The 24923-nt window shown below is 38.4% G+C and overlaps 2 protein-coding genes across 16 annotated transcripts in view, besides 1 other annotated feature; one reads left to right on the top strand and one right to left on the bottom strand.

Moving 5' to 3' along the window:
• FAM20A (FAM20A golgi associated secretory pathway pseudokinase) overlaps positions 1-4320 on the top strand; it is a 66252-nt gene extending 61932 nt beyond the window's left edge. For 4 of the 5 annotated variants that reach the window (NR_027751.2, NM_017565.4, NM_001243746.2 and 1 more), the window contains 2 exons: positions 40-99; positions 1695-4320. Coding sequence is in view for 3 of the 5 variants with exons in the window: in NM_017565.4 (NP_060035.2) it covers positions 40-99; positions 1695-1959 (325 nt within the window). In the remaining 2 variants the exon portion in view is untranslated. Of the gene's footprint in view, positions 1-39; positions 101-1694 lie in introns of those variants that run through there. The other variant, XR_002958041.2, reaches the window with a different exon arrangement.
• PRKAR1A (protein kinase cAMP-dependent type I regulatory subunit alpha) overlaps positions 1-24923 on the bottom strand; it is a 137694-nt gene that overhangs the window by 11881 nt on the left and 100890 nt on the right. For 6 of the 11 annotated variants that reach the window (NM_001278433.2, NM_212471.3, NM_212472.2 and 3 more), the window contains exons 2-11: positions 23860-24042; positions 16510-16680; positions 15620-15711; positions 15359-15420; positions 14478-14524; positions 13524-13682; positions 11536-11596; positions 10445-10566; positions 9435-9516; positions 6005-9159 (exon numbers count right to left, since the gene is read on the bottom strand). In NM_001278433.2, the coding sequence (NP_001265362.1) occupies positions 8987-9159; positions 9435-9516; positions 10445-10566; positions 11536-11596; positions 13524-13682; positions 14478-14524; positions 15359-15420; positions 15620-15711; positions 16510-16680; positions 23860-24036 (1146 nt within the window). In that variant the 5' untranslated portion in view covers positions 24037-24042 and the 3' untranslated portion in view covers positions 6005-8986. Of the gene's footprint in view, positions 1-6004; positions 9160-9434; positions 9517-10444; positions 10567-11535; positions 11597-13523; positions 13683-14477; positions 14525-15358; positions 15421-15619; positions 15712-16509; positions 16681-23859; positions 24043-24316; positions 24450-24923 lie in introns of those variants that run through there. The other 5 variants (NM_001369389.1, NM_001276289.2, XM_047436370.1 and 2 more) reach the window with 2 other exon arrangements.
• Positions 11134-11428: a silencer, noted in NCBI's record as "tiled region #15560; HepG2 Repressive non-DNase unmatched - State 15:Elon". NCBI's record gives its function as "represses a minimal TATA promoter and a strong SV40 promoter by Sharpr-MPRA in HepG2 cells {active_cell/tissue: HepG2}" and the evidence as "EXISTENCE:reporter gene assay evidence [ECO:0000049][PMID:27701403]".

Raw genomic sequence — 24923 nt, 5'->3', positions numbered from 1 at the left:
TGCTGCCGGCCACCCATAAAAGCCTGTTTCTCCTCCTAGGTTCGGACGACACTCCCATGATGAAATCTCCATCCTCTCGCCTCTCTCCCAGTGCTGCATGTAAGTTTTCCTGCAGCAGATAATACGGGCAAGTAACAGTTGTGACCCTTCATGCTGCTTGCAGCCAAGGTCTGAAGGGCTTCCAGTTTTCACTGGTCCAGGACGTAAGTGGGTAGAATGACATGAATCACCTTATTTCCTACACATTTGTGCACTGCATGACATCTCAGCCAATGACAGACTGCATATATGACGGTGGTCTCATAAGATTAATAATATGGTATTTTTACTGCATTTTACAGTTTTACTATCTTTTCTATGTTTATATACACAGCTATCCACCACTGTGTTGTAAAGGTTTTGTAGCCTACAAGCAGTTATCATATAGCCTAAGAGTGCAGGAGGCTACACCATCTAGGTTTGTGTGAGTACACTCTCTGATGTTCACACCGTGACAAAACCTGCGCTTAAGGATACATTTCTCAGAACATATCCCCATCACTAAGCGATTCATGACTGTACTACAACTATCAAAATTTCCCCCACAACGTTTTGTCTTTTTCATCCTTCCACATAGGATGAATTAGGATTTAATCCTTTAAACCTTTCAATTGCCAACTTTAATCGTTGACCCACTCAGATAATCACCTATTTTTGCAGTCTGCTGGGTTTTGATATTACTAATCAGACCTCTGCTTTGCCCAGCATTCATATCGGCTCATAAATATTACTACTTGATCACCATCTAAGCAAAACCCTGATTAAAGTCCTGTAAACCTGTGCAGACTGGAAGAAGGCACGAAGGCCCTTGCTTGGCCACCATTTCTCTAGAGAATGTCTAACTTACTTCCACACTTCTCCAGTGTTTCAGCCAGGCTTGTAAAATTGACCACCTGCTCAGCTGCAGTATGCAGAGCTAATTATAAATATGATATTCACACCTAGCAAAAACATCTCATTTGTTTCCAGCTGGAAAACTCGGAGTAGAGCATGAGTATTCCTCATCTATGTCTTAGGTTAATTTAAACATGCTTCCCTCTGGCCTCCCTTCCCTGCCTCCAGAGCAGGACTGGATGAGCAGTACCTGTTTTTGACAAAAGTCAATTAAGCTGCTTACACATCAGAGTCCAAGTCAGATTCCCACATAAAAAGAAACTGAAATCCTAAAGATGGGTCCTACCACATTTTCATCTCTGTGATTTTAAAATCTGACAAACAGAAATAAAGTTAGCAAGAAACAACTTAAAGGCTGGCAGTACTGGGGGATTTTGAGACAGCAAATAGCTCATCAATTCACCTACTAGAAACTTCTCCCATTAGCTTTAAATCTCCTTGAAAAATCCTAAGTATCACTTTGGTTTTGATTCCCTTAGCGTTGTCAGAGAAAATGCATATAGCCCAGCATCACCATTATTAGAGCACAAATGGCTATGCAGGCTCTTGACCAAATCGCAATTGGGCAAAGGACTGCAGGATACTGGATTTTGCCTTTCATTTGTTCCCTTTTTACCTGGTTTCCATTAAAATGTGCCTGAGAAGACACAAGGAGAGGCGCCAAGAGTATCAGCTACAACAGCTGTTTGTGGGGAAAGAAGTTCAGGCAAGTTATTTTCTTTACATTTGCTTATTTGGTTCCTGTAACTTTGTCTTTTCAGGATAAAAAAGAAAACACTTTTGCACCTGCAGCTGCTGGCCCAAGCTGACTACAGACTCAGCGATGTGATGCGAGAATCACTGCTGGAAGACCAGCTCAGCCCTGTCCTCACTGAACCCCACCTCCTTGCCCTGGATCGAAGGCTCCAAACCATCCTAAGGACAGTGGAGGGGTGCATAGTGGCCCATGGACAGCAGAGTGTCATAGTCGACGGCCCAGTGGAACAGTTGGCCCCAGACTCTGGCCAGGCTAACTTGACAAGCTAAGGGCTGGCAGAGTCCAGTTTCAGAAAATACGCCTGGAGCCAGAGCAGTCGACTCGAGTGCCGACCCTGCGTCCTCACTCCCACCTGTTACTGCTGGGAGTCAAGTCAGCTAGGAAGGAAGCAGGACATTTTCTCAAACAGCAAGTGGGGCCCATGGAACTGAATCTTTACTCCTTGGTGCACCGCTTCTGTCGTGCGTTGCCTTGCTCCGTTTTTCCCAAAAAGCACTGGCTTCATCAAGGCCACCGACGATCTCCTGAGTGCACTGGGAAATCTGGGTATAGGTCAGGCTTGGCAGCCTTGATCCCAGGAGAGTACTAATGGTAACAAGTCAAATAAAAGGACATCAAGTGGATACCTGACTTCTCAGGATCCTTATTCTAGCTACAAGTCAAAGATAACTCCTGGTCCAGACAAAACACCTGGCCTATCACAAGCTGACTAAAAATCTGCACTTTGGGCCAGCGCAGGCAACAGTAACTCTGACAGGTTCAAATTAGACCTCACACTTTCTACTCATATTCTAGTCACTGGACCCATCTGAATCAGTAATCCCTACTGCCCGGTCCTGGAGTAACTTCTTAGAGATATTATAACAAGTGGCAAAAATAAAAGAGGGATTTGCTAAGAATATCAGAAAAGGAGTGTTCCAATTTGAAGAGTATTACAATTGAAATAACATCAAATATGTCACACTAAGCAGCCAGTAACAGAATAAATAATTACAACGAAGGAAAAAAAAAGGAAAGTCCTCCAAGGTCAGGATGGCATGGGAACAGGCCTAGCAGGGACACAAGCCTGGAGTAAGGCAGGAAAAGAGCCAAGGCTGACTACAGCCCACCAACCACAATCTTCTTCCCTAAGACCCCAGGATTGTCCCCGGCCCATCCCCAAAAGAAGAAAGGGGCTATGTGGAAAGGTGAGGCCCTCTAGATGCCCCTCCCTGTGACGGCTGGCTCAAAAAAGACTAAGTCAGGTTTTTTATTGAAGCCTCCCTTAGAAGAAAGTGTAGTAGGGATTCCTTGTCTCCTCTACCTTCTCCCTGACTTGTTGATATCTGAAACTCCTTTTAATAGGAGGCTTTGTTTCTTATTCCATAATTAATGACCGAAAACACAAAGGACAGTAAGGTCTTCATTCCATGGAGTGACTAGTCAGTCAACAAAAGTAAAAATGCCTCATTTCATCAAATCAACTTTTCCAGTAAAGGCCAGAGTTCAAATACTGTAAGCATGAGAATAGAATGGAGCTGTCACTAAAGAGAGTACAAGGTCAAGAACCAGAAATGTCTCCAAGCTTTCTGCAGTGTGAGCAAAGATAGCCTCGACTGGACAAATAACACTTCTGACCCCGTGGTACCCCCACATGACTGGTATGCTGCCCCTGGACTTTGTGTCTCTCTAAAATCACTACCATTCACTGAGATCTGACCAGGTGAGGCACTCACCAACGCTACAGAAGCAACACACAGGTTTCCAATCCTCTCAAACACAGATACAACCCCCATCCTCCAATGTGCATGGAAGAACTTTAAATCTCAGAGAGAGTAAGCAAAATCACACAATTTAGTGGTTTAGACCTATTCCAAAGTCTTCTTTTCACTGTAACACAAAACCCAACAGTATCCCACCCAATTTATGAAGTCAAATTTGTTTGCTTAAAAAAAAAATCAGCTGGGCATGGGCTCACACCTGTAATCCCAGCACTTTGGGCCTAAACAGGCAGATCGCTTGGTCTCAGGAGCTCGAGACCAGCCTGGGTAACATGACAAAACCCTGTCTCTACAAAAAAATACAAAAAAAAAAAAATTTTTTTTTAAATCAACTCTTTAACAGAGAAACCTTAATCCCAAAGATTTCCTTAACTGTTGTGGCCCTACTGCAGCATAGGGCTCCCCACTTCATTCACTGTCTCTCCTGCTTCAAGATGTTTCTTCCCTGTGGATGAAGAACCAGGAGATCACACACAGAAATGGGAAAATATCTGGGTAAAAACATTCAAAGAATAGCACAAAATGGTTTGGGACTTCCAAATAAGACTCTCAGGAAAGCAGGCTACAGCTCTACCTCAAAACCCGCCACCTCCTATAACGAAGGACTGGTTTTCCAATGGCCTATATACACATTTTGCTGCACTCTACAAACAGAAAGCAATAGGCTTGAATTTCACCATGATATGTGGTACACCTACCTTATTATTCACTTATCTTTCAACCTTCCATTACTTTTTGATTAGTAACAAAATTAAGACTCATTTCTCAAAAATATCAGAAAACCAACCGTTTCATTCTTACTCGAGTTCTTCCAGCATGTTCATTTTGAACTGTTTACCTCCCATGAAATAAAAAGTCTCTTGACTCTGAGAACTTTTCAAGTTACTACTGACAGCAAACTAAAAAATGAACGGGAACTGTACTGATGGAAAGAGGCATTTGGAAGAATTCGTTTTAGCCTTCTCAAAAGCCAGGAAGACAATATGAGTTTGAATATTACAAAAAAATTAGTCATTCTCTTACGAGTTAGTTTTATGTTCCATAAAGTCACCACAAACACTGCATTGGCAAATACTGAACATTGCTCCTAGGGGAAATACAGGGTTAGGTTGCTGGGAGTCTCTAGTTACATTTTTATTGACCGATCAATACATAATCTTGCTGTGTGCGTGTTTTATGTTAACGCATGTTTAAGACACTTTATTTAATATATACTGATTCATTAACATTGTACTCATGGCAAACAGCACTGTAACCCAGACCTAAAAGAAACATCCAATATACATATTTTCTACATATGGCACAACACAGCCTTCTTTCACTTAGGAACACTAGTCAGCACTTCATCACTACACTTAGGGGCTTTTAATAGTGAAATCACCAACAACAAAAAAAATACAAAAATGCAAAAAAAAAAAAAAAAAAGGCACTAAAAAGACCCAAGAAAAGGACACTTATTCACAGTATGAAAGATGAGCATCCCTTTGTTCCACCTCAGTTGGGAACATGTGTGTTGGGAGGCTCAAACTTTTCACTTCCCAGCTCATGTCTGCAAAAGCCCTGTGACTATTGATTTTGGGGTTACAAATAAAGTTTAGCAAGTAGGTAAATTACAAATACAGAATCCATGAATGATAAGGATCAACAGTTAACTCATTTGAGATTAACGAAGATTAAAAAAAGCCCACCATCTAGTGGCAACCTTTAAAATCACACAGCTACTTAAGCAAAATTGGCAGAACTTTCACAAAATGAAAAAATCTTACTCAGTGGTTTTGGTTTTAGGTGTAGTCCAGATGAAGTCACAGCTCTGAACTTATGTCAAGAAACAAATGTTAGCGGTACATGTACATAACAATGCTGCTTTCTATGTAAAAATCACATAGCATAGGAAGGAAGAGATTTAAGAAATTCACATAGCTACAGCGTTTACTGATAGCTATTATAATAATACCTTTGGGAGACGGGCACGCTGGCTCACACCTGTAATGCTAGCACTTTGGGAGGCTAAGGTGGGCAAACTGAGCTTAGGAGTTCGAGACCAGCCTAGGCTACATGGCAAAACCCCACCTCTACTAAAAATACAAAAAACTAGCTGGGTGTGATGGCACACATCTGTAGTCCCAGCTATTCCAGAGGCTGAGGTACAAGAATCACTTGAATCTGGGAAGCAGAGAGGCTGCAGTGATCATGCCACTTCACTCTAGCCTGGGTGACAGAGTGAGACCATCTTAGATAGACAGATCGATAAATAGACAAATAGACAGATAAAAACGTACCTTTGGGGACAAATTAAATGGTTATCTAGCCATTGCTTCTTGATGTTGTCTTAGCCCATCTAAACATACACTGCCAGGGCCTAACATAAGTACAAAAGGTTCAGCTATTATTTGTGGTTAGAGATAAAGTAGTATGAAGAAAACTGACATGCTACTTCAATTTTTAAATGTCAATATTTAAATCATTAAAAAATAAAAGAAACAAAAAAAAGAGTCTACTTGGGCCACTGTTTAGAGAGAATTCAACTATAACCAGGACTGTCAACCCAGAGAAATTTTCTTTAGTTACATTTTATTGTGACTCTAAAGGTTTCATACTCCAGAGGACGGGGGGAAGGGATTACTGAATCTAGAAAAGGTACACATGTTCAAAGCAACACAATTTAAAGAATGCTCTTCTAACATACAACATATCTCCAATTTCACTGGATGTGAAGAAATACCAATACACTAATGAATACAACTTAATCATCTCACTCCTCAGAAATCTAAGAGCATCAGAAATAAGGCTTTATATATGAGGCTTTATATATGCAAAATATAAAAGTATCCCTAAGTAACATTAAATGTATATATTAAATTTAAACCAAAGAGTATGCTAATCTAGAAATGATGTTTCCCCATTAAGTCTGGGAAAGTTCCAAGGCCACAGAACCAATCTGTCTTCAATCAAAAGGAAATCTTTAGCTTTTGACTGAATTTTTTTCTTTCCATGACTAAGTAAATAAATCTGCTACATCTCAATTACCCTTTAAGCAAGATTTTGAGATCCACTCTTTGACAAACTGAAAAGCACTGAAAATAAACATTGCTCTTTCAAAACACCGATCCCATAATTCACTTTCCCCCTTTTCATTTTTGCCCACCCGAGTAGACTTTCGGGGAAGGACAGAGAGAGGAAAGACGGAAAGGAGAAAGGGAAGAAAAACTGATTCATTTAAGAATTTAAATTATTTCATCTCTTTTTATTACTTGACCTACCATTAAGACAATCTATAACAAAAAAAGTATATTAGCACACATGGTATAATCAGACTGGTAATCAGGAAGCAATACAAAACGGTCCTTTGGCCATCTATACTTTCTAGAGCAGTAAATCTCATAAATTCACTTACCAAGCCCAGGAATAATGACTTTTAAAGCCTTGAATATCAACTAAGACAAATTATGCCAATTCTGATTTCTCACATATACTTAGATTACACAAAGATAAAGCTTTAGATGTGATCATTGTTTAATGTAGACTTATCTTTAAAGTTTTTAATTAAAAACTACAGAAGGGAGTAAACAGCAAGCCAAATGATTTAACCAAATGATTTAAGAGTAAAACTCACTCAGAAAGCATTATACGTAACTAAATATACATGAGCATGATTATATACATACATGAAACTGCAATTTTATGGCATTCTAAGTAACTCATTTAAGTACATTTTGGCATTTAAACAAAGATCAAATCAAGCTTTAAGCTTGTAAGAACGTAATTTTCATTTTTAATTTTTTAAATATAAAAAGGTAGCTAAACACAAAGTACAGATCAGAAACCCTCATTTAATATAGATTATTTTGGAAATTAAAAAATTTGTAACAAGGTGGCTTTCTTACCCACCCTAAAATGTAAATAAAACCTCTTCCCCAGATTTATACTTCATACTTGGTAACAACCTAAAAGTTTTTCAAATCTATGAAAAAAATCTACCATGACCAATTTAAATTACCTGGGAAAGGGCAGGAGAAGGGATCAATAACAGAGTCAGTTAGTTGCACACAGATGGAAAAATGCTTGCAGTCACTCCCAAATATAACCCTACATTACCTTATATATAAATCACAATGAAAATAAAAGTGCCTACATTACAGAACTGTGAAATTTTGTTTAAAAAAATAATAAAAATAAACTGTTGGGTATCATTGGAATAATGTAACACATAAGGCTGGAAAATACTGAAATACAGTTAAGACTCAATACACAAGTTTACTTTAAAAAAGAAAAGAAAGAAAAGTTTGCCAGAGAAATAAATGCTAGATAGGAAAGCAGGACTTTCAGCAGGATAGCCTTTCAGACCAATTTGAAGCAACACAGACACATTATACCCTACCATCAACCCACCAGAAATTCTAGCTGAATAAAAAGGAAGGAAAAAAAGACTAAACCAAAGTAAAAAACTTCTTCCAAAATCTCATGCCCCAGTGAATGTCACGGGGAAAATTCCCGACACTGAACTTTGTCCGCCTGGCATTTCTCCCTTTAGCAGCATCACCTCTATTTCTCTGTTAGGACATTTGCTCCATCTGTATCTAGTCACAGCAAATCCAATCTCCTGGAATCAGTTTAATGAGCAGAGGAGATTATACTGGAGTCAGCTGAAGGACATACTTTAACCAAACGCTCTAAATTAACAACCAAGAATGTAGACCTCAAATTCTTATTCTCAATTCAGCATCTGATCAATTATTTGGCACTAGCTGGATAAAGGTCTAATCGGAATTTGTGAGCCGAGGCAGATGTAGTTAAATACTAACCAATATTTGCAATCTATGAGTTAGTTTCAAACTTAAAAGGCAGGTATAGATAGCCATACTCAAAAGTATTTCAGAATTGGAGAAGAAACATTAATAACAAGATATAAATAAAACCAGGCAGATTAGCTTGGCAAACAACAACTCTGGAAAAAAAAAAACTGAACCAATCATATCCCATTGATAATTAGCAAAAATGGGCATTTTTCCACCCTTAAACTAGTTTAATTACAGGCAGATGTCTTTCTACTATACTAAGATTTTCTATATCCATTTTCCCTAATCTTTAGAGTTTAATGAGAAACCATTTATTCTACAAAGAAATACAGCATATATGGCCACAGTCTAAATACGCTTATAACTGGACAATTATGTCACTTAAAAAAAAAATCTTGCACTGTTACATCATTACTCTATGGTAATTCAATAGGTGCTGGGATCTGCCCTCACCAAAAAGCATGGCACTCACTGCCCAGGGTGAATACTAACACTGCACAAAGAGAAGCAGTAACAGCAAAGTCTCCATAGAACTCTTTCTATTTATTTAACTGTGTATGAGCATTTAGTTAATGCTCCAAATTGAAAATGGTGCAATAAAAGCAACTTTCAATATATAAACAGACAGGAAGCTGCGATGCCAGTGGCCACTTGGCGCTGCAAGTAGGGAAAATAAAGCAGTTTGCATGAGTGAAGCATGGATTGGGGAGAGGAGAAAAGGGAGGCACAGGAGGCAGATTTCAGACAGACAGTGACACAAAACTGTTGTACTGCTGGATGTTTCGTTTGAGGATGTCTGAGCATGGGCCAAGAACACGTTCAAATCTAGGTCGGTCCAGCTTAACGCACTTCAAGGGGCCACGAGCAACAACTGTGGCAGCACGAGGACGATTCATCAGTAGTGCAATTTCACCTGGAGAAAGCAAAGATGGGTAACAGGCTAACTTCTATGAAAAACATTTCCTTAAAGCAGTGCACTTCTGAGAAAGAAGACAATAGATATGAGACAATCAGTAATTTCATTAAATGAGTAAAGATCAAAATCTCACACCTTCCCTCTCAGAGCCAAAAAAGACTGCAGTTAGAAAATAAAATTCAGGAGAAGACAAAATTATGGAAGACTACAATATCTCACTGAGAGGTGACTTAAAGAAACCATGTATTTATTGTGAGGGAATTCATACATACCAAAATAATCAGAAGGCCCCAATCTTCCCACTTCAACAAACTCTTCATTTTCTGACCGACGTTGTAGCACAGCAGCTGACCCCTATAATAAAATCACCAAAAAGCTAAACAAACACACACTCTCAAACCCAGGGTGGCACCTTAAACATCCTATGCAATTTTAACTACCTTGCAAATGTGTGCATATGATAAAAAATGACTTTAAAGTTAGTCACCACATGAGCTTCAATTTCTATTTTACCAGCATCTCCTGCTAGCGAGGTTCTTCGTATCAAGCTAAGGTGCTTAAAGGGTGCACACTTGGGTTAGCAAACTGTAGATGAAGGGCTAAATCCAAGCTCACTGTCTCTTTCGCAAATCAAACTTTACTGAAATACCACATACATTCATTTACATATTATTTGTGGCTGCTTTTGCACTATGACAAGAGTTGAGACTTTGCGAATGAAACCCTATGGTCCACAAAGCTTAACTTACTTACCACCTGGCCCTTTACAGTCTCCTGACCCCTGATTTAAATAAAATCAATTAGCAACTATGGAGCCACATTCATAGAAATCTGCCACTTGGATCCGCTTAGCAAGAGTATCTGCTATACATTTCCATGGAATGTGGAGATATACAAACACAGTAATTTTTCAAATTTAAATAATTACCTTTAATCCTTATTTGCCAAATAGCCCAAACACTTGCATTTTAACAAGAATAGTGCAGAATCATCACAGTTTGTTATGTTAAATGGTTTTTAGAATTTGGCTTTTCATGTCTAGGGCCCTTCAAGAATTCTGACTCAAACTCATTTAAAAATATAGTGACCTGGCAGAAAACCAAACAACAGCATTTCAAAGTAAAAGATAATTTTAAAATAAAATGGTCAGGTATTCTTAAAAACTAAAGCTATAGTTCAGAATTAGCCCACTCTTTCCCTCTTAGAGCGTACAACTTTTTAAAGTATTAAATTCTGAGTTCTTTACCTCTAAAATTCAAGTATTAAATTCTGAGTTCTTTACCTCTAAAATAATGAAGAACTCATCCCCTGGTTCTCCCTGCACCACAATCTTCTGCCCATCTTCAAACTGCACTGGTTCCAATGCATCAGCTACCGTAAGACGTTCCCACTTGTCCAGAGACTCTGAAAGACAAGAATCAAAATAACTGCTCTGTATTATTTGGTGCTGTTATAAAGGTAAAAAGAAAGTATAAAGAGATTCAACCAAATAGCCATGCCCATTCAACATTCTAGTAGTGTCTCAGATTAAAAGTGGTACCTGTCTTCAATTACCTCTAGTCTGAGCAGGATTCTCATACTGCCTGCAGATAGCCCTTAGATCCTTACTTCGGTAGCCCAGTGGCTAGGTTAATTTATACCAACTGTACCAAATGGCAAGGGAATAAGAAAATGTAATCCTTAAGTATTCCTGAAGATTGCCATCAATGCAAATCAAACCTACAACTACAATACTCAAAAGTCATAGTTTCCCCATCCATATCGTTCCAAAGTTTCATAGAAATAATTTAATCTATTTAAATTCTTGGTTTACTTTATGAAAAAGAACTAGAAAATAACTTTTATTCCCAAAGGCCAAACTACTATCCAAAACACAAAGCATATGTAACCAATTCAAAGAAAAGACAAAGAAGAGGTGAAAAATTCACTGTAATAAACAATGGCAGAAGCCTGTTACCTTATAAAAATCCCCATTCCCCTTTCATGAAGAACAAGTTCTAACATCTCCAAGTCCACATAACAAAATGCACAAAAGAATATCTTCAATTAATCTGCTTTACTCTAAATTTCAACAAACTTCTGGCATGTTTTCAGAGGATGCCAGCAAATGATACCTAATCTTTCCACAGAGGAAATGTATTGTTGGAAGTACTCACTTTTCTGAACCAATCAACTCAATGATGGAACAAGAGAGACGGGAAGTCACAGAGGAAATAACTGTGAATGTCCACAGTCAGAAGGACTTTCAGCCCTTCTGTCTTTTCAGGGGGAATGAGTAGCAATTATACTTTCAGAAGGCTTTTCCCAAGTCCATCCAATTCTAATTCAGGGGTATCTCACATACTAGCAAAGTTAACACACTTTACAACTCACCTAAAATAGAGACTTTACTAAGGAATTCCTCATACATCTTCCGCTTTCTCAGTGTGCTTCCCTAAAAATAAAAATAACAAAAGTGATATCCCCAAGACGTGTAATTATCACCACATAATGCTATGGAATAATAAATATTAAGTTTCAAATAAATTTTAAAACCAGAAAGTCAAAGCTTGTTGCTTTTAATGAGGAAAGTTTAATTTTAACTAATTCATTTTTATTTTACAGGTAATGAATGATATGACATTCTTGTGATTTTTATTTTCCGCCAATATTATGCCCAATTCCTAGCATTTGCAACCAGTATGTTGACATATTTCACAAAGCATTTCCCAACTTCCAAATACAGTCGAAATACCGGTTTATACCTGAGCCTATCACTCAAGATATTTTTCCACACACTTTAAACCAATGTCCAATTTCCATGTTTACTCTCAAACTGATTTTGTGCCACTGCCAACCCAATTTATCTCTGAAAATATTTTCTCACAAAAGTAATCTAGGTCATTTACAACCCAATAATCCTAGTGTTCTTCCTGTTCAACGCTGGTATTTAAATGCAGATTCCTCCATTAGTTCTGGCTTCTCACCTATACAATTGACATGTCTTTATTCTATAAAAAAAGGACCATATCCTCCCCTACCCAGCTATATAGATATTTCACCCCATATCTACAGTTCCTAATTCCTGTCCACAAAGCCAAAGCATTGTGAGGCCCTAATTTCCTTTCAGGCCCACTATGAGAAAGTAAAATATTTTATTTCAAACCAATAGTTCCAGGTCCTACCTCTTCCTTCTTTGACAATGAGATAAAGCTGTAAACATTCTATGTTTCCTTTTACTAATAGTATTCCTGTAGAGGAAATGCAGAACTAACTGTATGGTCAGTTTCTTCTCCAGTAGACTGTCACATCACTTCAAAACCAATCTTTCTAAAATTTAGACTTATCTTTGCCATAAGCGTTTTTTTGTGTGTGTGGGTTTAAGGTTCAGGGGTACATGTGCAGGTTATATAGGTAAACTGGGTGTCACAGGGGTTTGGTGTTCAGGTAATTTTGTTGCCCAGGTAATAAGTAAAGTACACCACAGGTATTTTTCCTGATCCTCTCCCTCTTCCCACCCTCCACCCTCAAGTAGGCCCCAGTGTTTGTTGTTCCCCTTCTAGTATCCACGTGTTCTCATTGCTTAGCTCCCAACTGTAAGTGAGAACATGTGGTTTGGTTTTCTGTTCCTGTGTTATTTTGCTTAGAAAAATGGCCTCCAGCTCTATCTATGTTGCTGCGAAGGACAAGACTATCTATCTAATCTAATCTATCTATATATCCCAAATGCAGAAAAATTTCAAAGTACATCAGGCTGTACATTTTCAAATGGTCAGATGGACACTGCACAAATTTAAGAAAACCATTAAAAATGACCAATGCATTGGCTGAGACTTAAACATCCAAAGCTATCCTATAAATTTATCACAACGTTCTCAAAAAATCTGACTATCACCAGAAAGTTCCAATGGTTTTAGTATTTTGTTTATTCCTTTAACGAGAGGGGACATGACATACATATACATTACTGATAACCCACTTTCACAGGTTAGGGAAGCTGATTATTTCTGAATGGCCCCAAATAACTTTAAGCACTTAAAAGCAGCACCTATCATGCTGTAATGGGTATAACTAGGTAAATTAAGATGTGCCTACCAGCAAATGGATAGATTTCCAAACATGAGATGACCAGCACATATATACCAGATCTTGTTTCCCAAGGTTTTGTTCTAAAATATCACTGCCTAAAATGGCATAATGAATAATGCTAAGCTGGGCTTAATGCAAAGTATTTGCTCATTAAAAGAAAAATATTCGCTTATTAAAAGAAAGAAATATTTGCTCATTAAAAGAAATATTCTCTTTTTAATTTGGTAATATTCAAACATTAGTTACGTAGATGAGAATTCTAAATCACACTCTCAAACACCATGGTCTCTTACCATGAGGATTCTTCTATAGCTGTCTCGGTCGATGCCCCACAATTTCACATTTGTCTTTGCTTTGACAGTGGCTGCTCTCGGTGTTCCATAAATCAAAGCAAGTTCTCCAAAGCTCCCTCCTTCCCCAACACTGGTTGCCCATTCATTGTTAACATAGACCTAAAGTGCAAGTGACATCAAAAAAGTTTATTTTCTAGATACAAACACTTAAATGTTAAAAACCCTCAAACCTTTTTAAAAGGTCACAATCCTGAACTTTGTTTTAAAAAACAGAATATATTATGTTTGCAGTACACAACAGAGAAGAATAGGTGATTTCTGACGAGTTAAATGAGTTAAGAGTGTCTATAATTTACCTGATTTAATTATCTGATAAGAAAAAAGCACTCTGTAAGGATGTAAGGGAAAAAGGTCAGCTAAGCACTAATACCAGTCACAGATACTTAGAGAACCGTGCTGAGCACTATGCTAAACATTTTACTTGCATTAGGTCACTGAATCTTCTAATAATCCTAAAAGATCAATGCTATTATTGTCCCCATTTCATTTGTGAATAAGAAAGGTATATTAATTTTGCTAGCTAATGGCTGGGTCTAGAATCTTTTTTTTTTTTTTTTTTTAAGAGATGAGGTTTCACTTTGTTGCCCAGGCTGGTCTTGAACTCCTGGGCTCAAGCAACCCTCTTGCCTCCATCTCCCAAAGTGCTGGGATTATAGGCATCGGCCACTGCACCCAGCTACACACACTTCTTCACCACCACTCCAGCAAAGTTCTGAACAGAAAATTACCTTTAAAGAGTTTCTCTGTGTCATAAAAATACTTGGCAAAAGGTATTAATAAAATCTGACATACAAGGGATGTAATGACCCTTCAAAATCACTATTCTTATTGCTCGGAAGCGATCAATACATTGGCTTTTAAGATCAACATATTTTTGATATTGGTAAATCTTACATCCGTCTCTCCTTGATCAATCACATAGAAGTTATCCCCTTCATCACCTAAAAGAGGGTAAAAAAGTTAGAAGCATATTCCAAATTAAAGAAAGAAATTATCAAAATTATTACAAAACAATAAACTTATTTTACAGTGGTACTGTGAGAGTGTGTTACAAACTAACACAATCTTTCAGGGGAAAGAAAATCAAGCAACATATTTTAAAAGTCATAGAATTAATCAAAATTTTTTTAGTCATCTCATGGTGAAGAATACCTCTGAAAAAAATTTTTAAAAGCTACATATGTGTAGTTATTAACTGCTATGGCATTTATAACAAGGACATTAGAAACAACTCAAATAGTTAATAACAAATTATCAGGCTGCCACAAAATGAAAATATATACCCACTCATAAAATGTCAAGAATAAATAAGAAAATAAAAAGAGGAAGATAGTCAAAAAGTTAGATCCATGTTAGTCTATATAGGCAAAGTAAGAATCTATAGAAGTCCTAGAACCTTTTTAATAGACAGGGCTATACAATGAAGAATGTAGGTGTTTCATTTATTTCTTACTTTAAAAGTGATTAACAATATAAAGAACATGAGAGATATATATGATTCTGCAATTCTATATGACATTCAAGGTAAGACAATGTAGGCATTTCCTTTAAATTATAAACAAAACTGTATCAAAAATATTAGTTCCCAATACAAAGTGTTCTGTCCATCTCAGAAAATCTTAATTTAAAAGAAATAGAAAAATCCAATAGTATAACAGAAAAAAAAAAGTGGTAGGATCAAAGAGGAAAACAAACTTCAATAAAACAAAACCAAAAAAATCCTCTAGTCTCGCCTCCTCTCCCGTAACAATATTGCATGCTCCAGAGGCCCTTACCTTGCTGAATCACAGTCTCTCCTGCGATAAAGGAGACCGAAAACATGGCATCAAAAATATCACTGCAAAAGAGAGAAGGCCTCGTGTTACATTTCACATGTCTCTTCCGTGAATTTCAAACATTAAGCTTAGAATTAAAGACCCCAGACTGTCATCTGGTGAACAATTACTAAGAGCTCTAAAACTTGCAACAAGTGTTGAAAACAATTTGGGATCACACCCTTACTTGAAAAATAGTGTTAAGAAAGAGCCTGTTCCTACCTTCTCTCATTATCATCAAGATGTGAAAACAGCACATTCTTTTCAATGGCTTTGGCTAAAGCGGCCATTGTCTTGTAATCTTTTGGTATAACCTAGAAAAGAACTGAAGGTCAAATGACAATTCCATAAACCAAAAACATTTCACGTTTGCAACCTGCGCTTCAATTAAATGTCAAGCCACATTATGGTATTTAAACAAGACTGCTTTGTAGTGTTTCACTACAACACACTTGTACTATCTTTGATCCATAAACTACTCAACAAGTATTGACTAATTAATCCCCTTGCCTACAGCCAGGCCTAAATATAAAGTCTGGTACTTGGTTCCCAGTTAACAACTAAAGAAACAAATCAAAACACCTGGACCAAGGTCATTATTCTGAGGCAAAACTAAGTATTTTATAATAATTAGTCATTTTAAAAATCTGTGATCTGTTAGCTTCACAAGCCTCAAGTGCCAGGACAATTCTGTTCCCCTTTAAGGCTAACAGCATAACTCAAAATAGCCTGGCTCTGAGGAAGAGGAGAACACAGGACAAATGAGGCTCGTAGAATAAAAGGTTAAAAGCCACAACATTTAATAGGATAGCAAAAAAAGGACATCACGATTCAAGAGAAAAAGCAATACCGCCCACCTCCTTCTACTGCAAAACAACTGCAAGGAAATAACAAACCCCAAAATGCAATTATTCACTAGTTCATAATCACTATTAGTTATTTCCTCTGACAGCATGCTATTACAGAAACCTGTTTTCCAGTACCCAAGAATTGTACAGGATGGATGAAGTTCCACCCTGTTTTGTATTTTATGATTCATTCATCAAAGGAGACTAGATGACCACCAAGTGGGTCCCAAAAGCATCCCCCCGATATTCAAATATCAAAACTACCTTTCTAACATAGGATGCCGCATCTTCCTCCGTGTAGACCTCAGCGCTGATAGCACCTCGTCGCCTCCTACCTTTAACCACTGGGTTGGGTGGAGGAGGAGAAATCTCATCCTCCCTTGAGTCTGTACGAGTGCCTGCTTTCTGCAGATTCTGAATCTGTTTTGCCTCCTCCTGAAAGAAATTACGAGTTTGCAAAATGAGATCCTTCGGCATGTAAAGCTGGCACTCTCATGTTCCAATGATAGTCTATCTCAGTCACTTCCAATCTCTTCTTCCATTAACAATGTAAGTTAAGAGGAAAACACCAATTCCAAAGGGGAAAAAAAGAGAGTAACACTTGAAACACTCTCAACAGAATGTACCTCAGATGATAACAGATGCTATCCTTTATTAATGGGCAAAAGTCATTAGTACAAGCCATTAGTACTCACATAACATGTGAGTAACAAATCAGATATTCATTAATGTCTTGACAACAATTATCTGTGATGCACACAACAGTAACACACTGCAAGACAAAATCCTGAAAATTGGGTTTTTTTGGATGCTACTGCAGATAGCAAGAGACCCTCCTGCCAAAAGAAATGTTATCAGGAAAAACAATTCAAGCCCAACATAGTGATCCAAGAATGTCTAGATTACTGAGTTATTTCATTAACTCAATAAGCCATTTTCTGGATCTGCCAGGCCAAGACCTATGCTAGGCAACAGGAAATTAAAAACAAATAGGAGAGGGTCCTGAGCCTGTGGAATTCACATTCCAGTTTGATCCCAGATAAAAACAAATAATGAAATGATGTGATGGTAACCACGAATTTAAACGAGATCGTATCTATAATACTTCTCCCAGCAGAGCTAGGATCACTCTTTGTAATCAAGGTTTAAACTTGAAGTTAAAAGACAAAAAGAGTTTACTTGCTTTTAAAAACTACTTATTGGACCAATTCAAATAAAACCTAAGATAAACTATTAAACATTCCTTTTTTCACATCTAGAGCCTTAAAAACAAATTCCTCTCAGATCTAAAGAATTAGTTGTTGTGCCTGAAGTAAAAGGGAAAAAATAAAAATGTGTTATCTTCTACTTTCTCATTCATTTGACCCGTTATTTCTTTTCTATATATAAATTTGTAAGTGCCCATATATTAATCTCCAGAACATTGGCAGCATTCAAGAAAAGCAATGGCGTGGGAGGGAGACCTTTCATTATTATGCCCCTTTGTACCTGCACAACTTTGAAATATGTGAATATGTAACCTACTTTTTAAAATATGGTTTTTAGAAAACTCATTTCATGTTAATTCTGGTTGTTCCAATAACCAGTAAGGTTTTCTCATTTCATATTAACACAGGTATAAAACTCAAGTCTCTCCCAAGTTTAAAGTTTAAGAATACATGACTGGGTACAGTGGCTTACGCCTATAATCACAACCCTTTGGGAGGCCGAAGGTGGCAGATCACTTGAGTCCAGGAGTTCGAGACCCGCCTAGGCAACATTGTAAAACCTCATCTCTACAAAAACACATAAAAATTAGTTGGGCGTGGTGGCACACACCTGTAGTCCCAGCTACTTGGGAAGCTGAGGCAGGAGGATCACCTGAGCCTGGAAGGTAGAGACTGCAGTGAGCCATGATCGCACCACTGCACTCAGGCCTGGGCAACAGAGTGAGATCCTGTCTCAAAAAATAGGCCAGGCATGGTGGCTCACACCTGTAATCCCAACACTTCGGGAGGCCAAGGTGGGCAGACCACAAGGTCAGGAGTTCAAGACCAGACTGGCCATTATGGTGAAACCCCATCTCTACTAAAAATACAAAAATTAGCCAGGTGTGGTGGCAGGCACCTGTAGCCCCAGCTACTCAGGAGGCAGAGGCAGGAGAATCGCCTGAACCCAGGAGGCAGAGGTTGCAGTGAGCCGAGATTGCACCACTGCAGTCCAGCCTGGGTGACAGAGCAAGACTGTCTCAAAAAAATAATAATAAAAATAAAATAAAACACACACACAGTTTAAGAGTATAAATGAAAACACAAATTCTCCCACCCCCAAATTTGTCACTGACATTTCACAAAAATTTCAGGAAAAATTTCACAAATAACATTTCACTTGGGACTACATTCTACTTCACTGAATTTTTAAGATTAATTTTGAAGTAACAAAAGCATTCTGATTTTAGCAGTGTCTCATGGATTCTAGTGAGTCTTTTAAAAACAGCAATCTGAATATAACCTAATCTGACAACTCAGAGCCATTACTCAGATCATGAGTTTTCTAGTATATACTATGATATATTTTTATATCCTTTCTCTTGCTGTTGTCATCCTTCTGTCAGTCTCCTTCCTCCTCAGCTCTTTAAGTGAGGTGATGAATAACCTAAATACCTTGACGTGATCATTACACATTCTATGCCTGTAAAATATCACATGTACTCCATAAAAACATACAAATGTTATATATCAATAAAAAATTAAAAATTAGAAAAAACCTCCCAGTCTACTCAGTGGTTAATTATGTTCTTGACTCTGAGGTTCAAATTCTGCATTCGGTTTTGCATTAAATTCTGCACTATCTTCTTGACTCTTAGGTTCAAATTCTGTCCCCACTACTATGTTTTCCCGATTATTTGTTCCCTCCCTGCTTCTGTCACTCTTCCCTGTGGGTAAAGTATACTTCCCACCCCACTGACTTAAGGCTTGGCTACAGGACTTGCTCTGGCCATGGAATGTAAGTGGACATGCCATACCATGGTTGCCTGTGTGGTTTGGCTCTGTCCACCTTGAGCTTCTGCCCTCCCTCTGCTTTGAGAACAGCATGCCCTATATAGGGCTGCTCCTTCTGCTCAGCCCCAGAACAAGATATGTGGTGTCAAGAACATAAGACAGGCTGATACCAGAAGAACTGCACATGACTGGTCTGTTGTAGTAACCACTGAAATTTGGGGGTTGTATGTTGCTCCAGCAAAAGCTGACGACTACAGTCTATAACCACAGCCACATTACTTAATTTCTCTCAGTTTTACTGCTATGTCTATAAAATGCTGAAAATCACATACCTCGTACATTTGAAATAACGAGTATTTATGTATATAAAGTGCTTCACACAGTACCTGACACAGCAGACACAAGGTCACTGTTATTTTAATTCCTCTTACCTAAGGGTCTAATAAATACAAGAGTAAAAGAAGACTCAAATTCCAGATGACTGAATTAAAATGCAGAAGCTTTCAAAAGACCAACTGTCAAGAGTTTTTGGTACATTTCTTATGGAGTAGTTGAAGGTAACAGAAACACAACCCCCCAGTAATGACGAAGAAGGTGATGAGAATATGACTGTATTTTCAGACTGATATGGTTTGGCTGTGTCCCCACCCAAATCTCATCTTGAATTATAGTTCCCATAATCCCCACATATTGTGGGAGGGACCTGGTGGGAGGTAATTTAATCACAGGGGTGGTTACCTCCATGCTGTTCTGGTGATAGTGAGCTCTCATGACATCTGACAGTTTTGAGGGGCTTTTCCCCCTTTTGCTTGACCCTTCTCCTTGCTGCTGCCATGTGAAGAAGAATGTGTTTGCTTCCCCTTCTGCCATGATTGTAGCTTCCCGAGGCCTGCCCAGCCATGAGGAACTGTGAGTCAAACCACTTTCCTTTATAAATTACCCAGTCTTGGGTATGTCTTTTATTAGCAGCATGAGAACAGACTAATACAGTAAAATGGTACACAGAGCGTGGGGTGCTGTTACAAGGATACCCAAAAATGCAGAAGCAACTTTGGAACTGGGTAACAGGAAGAGGGTGGAACAGTCTGGAGGGCTCAGAAGAAGACAGGAAAATGTGGGAAAGTTTGGAACTTCCTAGAGATTTCTTGTACGGCTTTGACCAAAATGCTGATAGTAATATGGACAATGAAGTCCAGGCTAAGGTGGTCTCAGATGGAGATGAGGAACTTGAGAACTGGAGTAAAGGTGACTCTCGCTATGCAAAGAGACTGGCAGTATTTTGGCCCTGCCCTAGAAATCTGTGGAACTTTGAACTTGAGAGAAATGATTTAGGGTATCCGGTGGAAGAAATTTCTAAGCAGGAAAGCATTCAAGAGGAAGCAGAGCTTGAAAAATTTGCAGCCTGACAAAGCAATAGAAAAGAAAATCCCATTTTCTGGGGAGAAATTCAAGCCTGCCGCAGAAATTCACATAAGTAACAAGGAGCCAAATGTTAATCACCAAGACAATGGGGAAAATGTCTCCAGGGCATGTCACAGACCTTCAGGACAGCCCCTCCCATCATAGGCCCAGAGGCCTAGGAGGGGAAAATGGTTTCCTAGGCCATGCCCTGGGGCTCCTGTACTATGCAGCCTCAGGACATGGTACCCTGCGTTCCAGCTGCTTCAGCTCCAGTCTTGGCTAAAAGGTACAGCTCTGGCCATTACTTCAGAGAGTGCAAGCCCCAAGCCCTGGTGGCTTACAAGTGGTGCTGGGCCTGTGGGTGCACAGAAGTCAAGAACTGAGGTTTGGGAACCTCCCCCTAGATTTCAGAAGATGTACAGAAATGCCTGGATGCCCAGACAGAAGTTTGCTGCAGGGGCGTGGCCCTCCTGGAGAACCTCTGCTAGGGCAGTGCGGAAGGGAAATGTGGGGTCGTTTGGAGCCCCCACACCGAGTCCCCACTGCAGCACTGCCTAATGGAACTACGAGAAGAGGGCCACTATCCTCCAGACTCCAGAATGGTAGATCCACCAACAGATTGCACCATGCACCTGGAAAAGCAACAGACTCTCAATGCCTGCCCATGGAAGCAGCCAGGAGGGGGGCTGTACCCTGCAAAGCCACAGGGGCGGAGCTGCCCAAGGCCACGGGAGCCCACCTCTTGCATCAGTGTGCCCTGAATGTGAGACATGGAGTCAAAGGAGATCCTTTTGCAACTTTAAGATTTAATTACTGCCTCGTTGGATTTCGGATTTGCACGGGGTCTATACTCCCCTTGTTTTGACCAAGTTCTCCCATTTGGAATGGGTGTTATCTACCCAATGACCCCAGGAAGTAACTAACTTGCTTCTGATTTTACAGGCTCATAGGTGGAAGGGACTTGCCTTGCCTCAGATGAGACTTTGGACTTGAACTTTTGAGTTAATGCTGGAATGAGTTAAGACTCTGAGGGACTGTTGGAAAGGCATGACTGTGTTTCAAAATGTGAAAACATGAGATCTGGGAGGGGCCAGAGGTGGAATGATATGGTTTGGCTGTGTCCACACCCAAATCTCATCTTGAATTGCAGTTCCCATAATCCCTATGTGCCCTGAGAGGGACCTGGTGGGAGGTAACTTAATCATGGCAGGGGGGTTACCCTCATGCTGTTATCATGATAGTGAGTGAGTCCTCACGATAGCTGACGGTTTCATAAGGGACTTTTCCCATTTTGCTCTGTACTTCTCCTTGCTGCTGCCATGTGAAGAGGATGGGTTTGCTTCTCCTTCTGCCATGATTGTAAGTTTCCTGAGGCCTCCCCAGCCATGCTGAATTGTGAGTCAATTAAACCTCTTTCCTTTATGAATTACCCAGCCTCGGTATGTCTTTATTAGCAGCATGACAACGGACTAATAGACTAACATACAAATTAACACCTAATACACAGAACTATGACCCACTAACAAGTTGAAAATCTAATTACTTAAAGGTCCAGGTATCTATATTCAACCCTGGAAGGAATGTATACATGTGAACAAAGACCCTTGAATTACAGCAAAAACCATGTTGAACTGTGACTTTAATTATTAAAAGTTAAAGAAGCTGAAACACATTAAATCTAAAAATTCCATCTGCAAAGAAACCATTTTAATAATTATTTATTGCTTTCCACCTTTGTTAGTCTTTAAACAGTACTGTGGCAACTACAAGCTTTGAAACTAGCATCACACATTCAACACTCCCTATAAAAAGATACACACTTAATGTCTCACCAACTTAATCCTCTCATTTGATGGTTTCTATTGATGTCCAAAGAAGAGGGATCACCTTACAGTGACCCATTTCAAAACCGGATCTCCAGGAATGCACTTGACTTCAAAACAAGCTACATCTATGACCTGGCTCTACAATACTTCCATGATTTGGAAATTGCATAAATAAGAGAAAGCCAGAATATCTACTATAATTCCAAGACAGCAAAGCAACATTCACAGTGACTAGTTGTTTTTGTTTTTTTTTTAATTATTCTGATCATGGTACTAAATACAAATTTTAACAATCAGTTTTTAAAGAAAATAGAAAATACCTGATCAATGAGCTACCCAAATACTTTTTAAAGCTTAGTACAGATTCTTTTACTAATAAACTATACTGATTATAAGAAACTATAAAAACCAATGGAAAATAAAGCAAATTATTTCTATTATACAATTAGATAATCATATACCAAAAGAAATGATTCATTTCTTTTGGTATATGAATCATTTCTTTTGGTATATGATTCATTTCAATTAATTCATAATCATTATGAACCACCTCATAACTTCCACATGCACAAGAAAATCAGTAAGTTTCTCTCACTGATTTACAGAAGCGAATCACATAAACTATTCAAAATATTTGGTAACCCAGACTTTTTCATTCATCGTTTCTTGAGGGAGATGAATTGAAGCATTCATTTGCTTCAATTATCCCTGATGTAAAATTATCACTTTGCTTAGAAAAACATATGCCATATACGTAGGTCACAATGACATACAAGCAAGGAGGAAGAGCAAAAAAGAATAAAAATTGGATTAATTTTTTTCAAGGCGCAACAAGTCCTGACCAATAAAATGGAGTAAAATTTTTGAGGAACATCAATATCAATATCTCTACAGTAATTTATCAGATATACTCTATACTAAAATAGACCGAATCTAATTGAAAATTTCTGATATATCAGTCACAAGCTAGATTCATGTTTCATTACACTAGTTTTAAAAGTGGGATAAGATTTACTACGCTTACTTGCTTTGTTCAAAACGGGAGGAGCATTAACTGCCTTTAAGAACTATAGAATTTCTTATTCATAGAACTGCTATACTAGTTCTGATCAGTTTTATCTGTTATAGTTCTACGCACTAATTTAAAAAGTTACAAAGAATTGTTTGGAAACCCTTTATTAGCCAAGTACAGTTAGCATACAGGTTCATTTTTCTGATAAATTCTACTAATTAAGAATTTTTAAATTACTACAAATGCCTTAACTGTATTTCTTATTTGAAATTGTTTTAGACTTTTTATTTAGTCAGATTCCTTTTCTTCCAAAAAATACAAATTAGTAACATTCCAGTTATTAAATGTAACAACTGTCACAATCACCTCATCATCTCCCCACATTTATTTTTACCTTCTCCAACCTCTCAAAGTATTCCCTGAGGAATGCCATGGGTCTCTCAGGTCGAGCAGTGCACAACTGCACAATAGAATCTTTGAGCAGCGCTTGAATGTTATGCTTCTGGACGTAGAGCTCACATTCTCGAAGGCTGCGTGCCTCCTCACTGGCGGCGGTACTGCCAGACTCCATGGTTCTCTGCGAGAAAAAAACACACACATGCTTGTATAAACTATAAAGCAAAATGTCAATCTGGCATTTAACTTGCTAAATTCATTAGACAACTGATTCACAGGGATTTTTTTCTAAGTAGATTTTGTTTTTAAACAGGGAAGTGGGGACTAGGGAATAAAATATGTACAGAATTAGCATTATTCCAAGTAAATGTTTCATTTAGTTCAGGATCTGTGCTCTGTAGGCAACAGTGAGAGTCGATAACCTCAGCTCCTGGGAGGAAGTATGAGCCACTAACCTCTGCAGAGACGGGTGCTGAAGTCAGGCCCTTAAGGGAATTTCATTCAGTTCTCCCTCAAAAGAAATCATGATGACGTGGGAAGTAGGTAAACGGTAAACAGGATACAGAATTACCAGGGCACAAAAGTCAACTGTAAGCGAAAGCAAGTCAGCACAATGAAGAATATCTGACATTCCCTATACGTAACTTCTATCCCATGGGAGTATCCTAACGTCACAGAGCAAACCACTGGAGTGAGGATCTGATTAGCCAACTACTAGCATAATCAAAATTTTTAAAAACACACAAGAAAATTAGATGAGTTTTAAAAGCAACCTTTATTCCAGACTCGTTTGCCAGATTCCACCCCTAAATGATAATACACTAGTGGTAAAAGAAGGAAAATCCTTAGTTGGGGGAGGGGAGAATTCTTACCACATAAACTGTAAAACATTTGGACAGAAAATTGTCAAAATATTTTCTTCATCTTGACAGGAGAATGTTAAAACACTTAAGTTTCAAACTTGCATGAAGATTCAATAGATAAATTGCATTTAATGGATTACATTTAATGGATAAATTGCATTTAATGGATTTTAGAGGATTCGAATTATGGTACCTTTAT

This window comes from Homo sapiens, chromosome 17 (genome assembly GCF_000001405.40).
Source record: "Homo sapiens chromosome 17, GRCh38.p14 Primary Assembly".
NCBI lineage: Eukaryota > Metazoa > Chordata > Mammalia > Primates > Hominidae > Homo > Homo sapiens.
This window is presented reverse-complemented; position numbering and strand designations above follow the sequence as displayed.